The sequence below is a fragment of the Homo sapiens genome, chromosome 7 (assembly GCF_000001405.40).
Source record: "Homo sapiens chromosome 7, GRCh38.p14 Primary Assembly".
Classification (NCBI taxonomy): domain Eukaryota; kingdom Metazoa; phylum Chordata; class Mammalia; order Primates; family Hominidae; genus Homo; species Homo sapiens.
Genome location: NC_000007.14, coordinates 114,046,948 through 114,052,611, shown reverse-complemented (window position 1 = coordinate 114,052,611; position 5,664 = coordinate 114,046,948). Strand labels below are relative to the sequence as shown.

Sequence of the window (5,664 nt, the reverse complement as noted above, 5' to 3'; positions counted from 1 at the left end):
AAGTCCAAGATCAAGGCACTGGCAGGTTTGGTGTCTGGTGAGGGTCCCAGTCTCTCCTTCCAAGATGGCATCTTGATGCTGCATCCTCTGGAGGGGAGGAACACTGTGTCCTCACATGGTGGAAAAGACAAAAGGGGAAAAGAAGGCTGAACACATTGTTAAGCTTCTATTATAAAGGCTTTAATTCCATCAATGAAAGAAGAGCCCTTATGATCTAATCACCTCTTAAAGGCACCGCCTGTTAATATTGTCACATTGGCCATTAAGTTTCAGTAGATGAATTTCGTAAGGGACACATTCAAACCATAGCAGCAGCTGCCTAGTTCAATGACCTCGTCCTGTAGGGTCTGAGAAGTCTGACAGTATTCTTAAGTTTGTCCCACTTCCCTATTTTCTCTAGACCCAGCTTGGCAGTGTTTCCTCTGGTATAGTCTCATATCACTGTTGCTGGCTTTTGTTGAGATGGTTGATTCAGTCCATAGTTTGCATCTATACTTATCATATTATCAAACAGTCAGTTGAGCACACCCTTAATGTTCTCTTCAAAACATTCTTTCTCATGTTTTTTCAATGTGAATAGGCTGAGAATTTTCCACAATTATAAGTTCTGCTTCCTCTTTGCTTAACAGTTATATCCTTAAGTCATTTTCACTTCTCAAATTTTACTATAAGCAGTCTGAAGAAGCCAAGCCATACCTTCAACAGTTTGCTTAGAATCTCTTCAGCTAGATATCCAATTTTGTTGCTTGCAAGTTCTGCCTACACTGCACAAACACTAGAATGCAAACACAATTCTTTGACACAGTCTATAAAACAGTAGAACATGAACACAATTCAGGCAAGTTGTTTATTACTTCAGAACAGGGATTGCCTTTGCTCCAGTTTCCAATAATGTGTTCTTCATTGCCATCTGAGGTCTCATCAAATTGGCTTTCAAAATTTCATTCATGGCAGTTAGGTTTTTTTCTTGCATGCACCTCAAAACTCTTTTAGCCTCTATGCATTACCTAACTTCAAATCTGCTTTTACATTTTTAGGTATTTGTCATAGTACCCTGCACCACCCCCCCCCCCCCGCCCCCACCCACCTTCTTGGAACCAATTTCTGTCTTAGTCCATTTGGGTTACCATAACAGAAATACCATGGGCTGAGCAGCTTAAATAAAAAAATTCATTTCTCAAAATATCATCTCTTGCTCTGGGCCTCTTTCAAGATATTAATGCAATACTGGATTTTTGTCATTGTATGACCCATTTATTAATTTCCTTGCCCTTAGCTACAATTCTTCCTTCTCTACATATATAGCTAAACTTTTCTACTTTTGGAAGGGATATTAGGCTCTGCCAAGGTGCTGGTCCAGATTGCCGTCAGCAATACTAGTCTAGCAAATTCCTCCCACTCAGTTTGTTTCTAGTAATTTAGAGTAGGGTTACATAGGTACAGAACTGATGAGTTACCTCAACCACTAGGTAATATAAGCACATTTATTATCAACCACAGTTTTGCCAATTGAGATGAATACACAGTTCACCCCATTAAGCCCTAGTAATTCTGACATAAGTGTTAACAAGTACCGTTCCAGTTTCCTTACTTAAGGATCATCTCTGCTTCCTGTACCCACAGTTGCAGCCCTAGTCCTGGGACTACTGCATCAGGTAAGAAGGAAATTTCAAGTGATACGGTGTTATTGTGAAGCCTGGCAAGTATGAAATCCACAGAAAAGGCCAGCAGAATGGAAACTCAGGCAAGAGTTTATGTTGTAGTCTTAACACAGAATTTCTTCTTATCCAGAAAACCTCAGGTTTTTGTCATGAAGACCTTCAGCTGATTGGACAAGGCCCACCCATGTTGTGGTGGGTAAACCACTTAAGGTCAATTGATCATGGGTATTAATCACATCTATAAAATACCCTCACAGCAACGTGTAGGCTAGTGTTCTGCCAAACAACTAGGCACCACAGCCTACCATGTTGACGATAAAATTACCCATCACACCTTCTTTGATCAGATTGGTAGCCTTACAAACAAAATGCTATACATTCACCTTGGAACTGCCTCTTATAAAACAAACAGTTCTTTGCCAATTTATTATGGCATTTTTCTGGACAATGCCCTTCCCATTAGAGCGTTTATTTAAGATTACTTAAGACATTATGGGTGGTTCAGATTTCAGGATTATTTTATGTCCTTCAGTCATAGGGGCATTTTCAATTAATATCCAATAGCATGCTAGTAATTGTCTCTCAAATGGGTATTTTGTGGTTCCAAATCCCAGTGGTTGTCTCTGGATAGTGCTTACAGGCTTTTGCCAAGTCCCAGGCCATGCTCCACACATAGCTATTGTAACAGACCATTTGTCCATAATCTTTTTTTTTTTTTTTTGGTAATCTAGATACTCTAAACTGTTTTAAATTAACAAATGTGTGGGTTTAGGTAACTTCATTGATTCTTATTTAGCATGTCCAATCAATATTGGCAGAAAGGTGGGTTTACATGCCTTCTGTTTTATAATACTAGATATTAGAAACATTCTTCATTAAAATACATTATCCATTACCATAATAGATTCAGGTAAAGGAGATACAAAAACTTCACATAAAGCCTGTTTAGATATTCCAATTTCCACGTAACCTTTCACCTTAATTCCATCAACATTTGAATGTTTATATCCTAGAGGGGATATATTTAGGTTAGGCAGACTTGCCTCTGAGGTACACTGTCCAGCAGGTGCGCAAGACAATTTCAGAACACACACAGAGAAAACAGGAGAGCTGGTGACTTAGGTTTTTGGAAAAGAGCCTATTTTAGTTGAAAAAAGCATAGGAAGCCCCAGACATTGCATGGTTTTAGGCCTTAGCCTCACCACTCTTGTGAGCTTCCTGTCCAGGAGGGCCATCAGTGCCTCAGATCTACTCAGTGTGGACCCTAATGTCCTTCCCACTCCTGTGAGCCATCCATCAGTGTGAGCTGAGAAATCAGTGATGGAGGCTTGGCAGGGAGAGGATAGCAGAGTCACTTATGGCCAAAAAGAATTGTTCTGGAGGTTGGTTGGTAAGCAGGAGAGACAGAAAGGGGAGATGAAAACTGCATATGGGAGTTGGACACCTCCAGCCAAAGAAGGTGAGGCATAGAGACCTCTTAACACCAGGGAACAATCTGAGTCATGGCACCAAATATGTTAGGAGCAGGGAATACCCAAGTTACCAGTGGTGAATCTGTATGGATCTGCAGCAAACTCAACTCTTGCTTCCTCAGAAGAAAGAATTTGGCTGAATGGCATAAGGCAGAAAAAGAGACTGAGGCAAGTTTCAGAGCAGGAGTGGAAATTTATTTAAAAACTTTAGAGCAGGAAAGAAAGGAAGGTATACTTGGAAGAGATCCAAGCGGGCACTTTGGAGGTCAAGTGCCCTGTTTAACCTTGGTCCTAGGACTTTATATGCGGTCTACTTCTGGCATCTTGCGCCCCTTTCCCTTCATTCTTTCCTTTGGGTGAACTGCGTGCATTCGTGGCGCCCTCCTTGTGCAAGGGAAGTGAGCATGCTCAGTGTGTTTAGGAAGCTGTTGGCATGCTCACCTGAGGCTTTCTTCCCTTTTCTGGCGGACTGCCCACAGAAGGTCACACTCCACCACTTTGTCTCTTAATACACATGCTCCAGCTCACTCGCACAATTCCTGATATTTTATTGGAAACTGCTGACTGCCAATTTTAAGTGTTTTTATGTATTGGGAAATTGCCTCTTCCTGGTCCCTGTGACCAATTATCATTTTAGTGTGACAACTGTGGGCCATGAGGAAATTATCACTCCCTGGGCCCCAACTACTAGTTATCATTTTTAGAGAGGCAATGTGACAACTGCTGAACCATCACCTGATGGTCGCCTGACATTTGTGGTGGGTGGGTGGGGGAGGGCCCTCTTCTGCCCTGCTCATGCCTGACTGTTACTGTAACATTTAGAGATTTCCACAATGCTGGGATGAGTTCCTGGACTCTCCACTTTGTCATTCTCTATTCTTGTGAGTCAGCCTAACCTTCACTATCTGCTGTTTCTGCACATTTTTCCCCCCTTGAAAGCAGCTCTAAGTCTCGTGGCTGTTGCTGGGAATGGCTTGATTCCACGCTGGTCCCAGCATCAGGGTCCACCGCCAGAGTTCCTTTTACTTTCACTTTCATTTTACCTATAGGTTGGGTCCCTGAGGCCAGTGGCTATAGCTTGAGCTAACTGGAATCCACACTTGTTCCAGCATTAAGATCTGCTCCATTTTTCCTTATTTTCATTTTAGCTATTACAGACAACAATGACCAAGGCATTGTATATTTCACTAATTTCTTGTTAATTTGCATTTCCTTATGCATCTAGTGAACCAACTTCCTGGGAGTTCTAAATTCTATTTGTAACCTTTAAAATACCTCCAGATCATTGCACAGCTGTAGTTTTATACCGTATGACTCTGGGCCATTGCAAAATCAAAGATTCATTCTCTGCACCCTCTCATCCTTCTTACCAAACCACATGATTCAATGAGTCAGGGTTGTTCCAGTAAATCCCACTTCACAGAAACCAACTGCAAGAAGCTAGGGCACACTGTAGAGTTAGAAGTCGCTGTCTCCAATATTGCCCTCAATTCTGATACCAATTGCAGTTTTGCAGAGGTTCCCCAAACTACCTAGAGTGTTGACAATTTGCTAGTATAACACACAAAACTCACTGAAATTGAATATACTCTTGTTTGTGGTCTATTACAGAATAAGGATATAGATTAAAGTGAGCAAAATGAAGAGAAACACAGGGCAAAGTCCATGAAGGTTCCAAATATGAAGTGTCATAGTTCTCTCCCCATGGAGTTTCCTGGCATTGATGTGTGACAGTATGAATGGAGTATTTCTAAACAGGGACGTGCACATGAACTTTAGTATTTAGAGTTTGTATTGGGCTTCATTACATAGGCATGATTGATCAACACATATAGTTGACCTCAGCCTCCAGGTTGACTGACATTGTGTGACCTAGAGACCCCATTGCTAGTCCCTACCCTAAGACTATTTGGTATGGCTGGTCTCACCCTAAGATCCACTGGGGCCAATTCCTCTTTTAAACAAAGACATTCTATCAAATATGATATAGATTATCTTCCAGAAGCCAAGGACAAATACCAGACCACTCACTGAACAAGGCCAATTTTTTGACTACACAAGAATAAGCTGGATAGTGGTGTTGGTCTCCAGTTCCTTCTTGAAAAGGTGGAACATTTAGCCAGGATTACAGGGTCATCTTCTGTGTGCCTCACCTTGTTGTGTGATATACTCTGCAAAGCGATTGCCTGCATGTGCTGCCTCCCTCCATTGTCACATCTCTATTTACTGATCATTCAGGGTTCTTAGTTACCATACATGGTTACTTCTTCTGTGTCCTGGGAAGATGAAAGTTGTTTTGTTTTGTTTTGTTTTTTGAGATGGAGTTTTGCTCTTGTTACCCAGGCTGGAATGCAAAGGCGGCATCTCAGCTCACCACAACCTCCGCCTCCCGGGTTCAAGAGATTCTCCTAAGGCCTCCTGAGTAGCTGTGATTACAGGCATGTGCCATCACACCCAGCTAAATTTGTATTTTTAGTAGAGACGGGGTTTCTCCATGTTTGTCAGGCTAGTCTCGAACTCCCAACCTCAGG

At 41.8% G+C, this 5,664-nt stretch overlaps 1 annotated feature.

Moving 5' to 3' along the window:
- Positions 478 to 627: an enhancer, noted in NCBI's record as "active region_26522". NCBI's record gives its function as "activates an Ori minimal core promoter by ATAC-STARR-seq in GM12878 lymphoblastoid cells {active_cell/tissue: GM12878}" and the evidence as "EXISTENCE:reporter gene assay evidence [ECO:0000049][PMID:35858748]".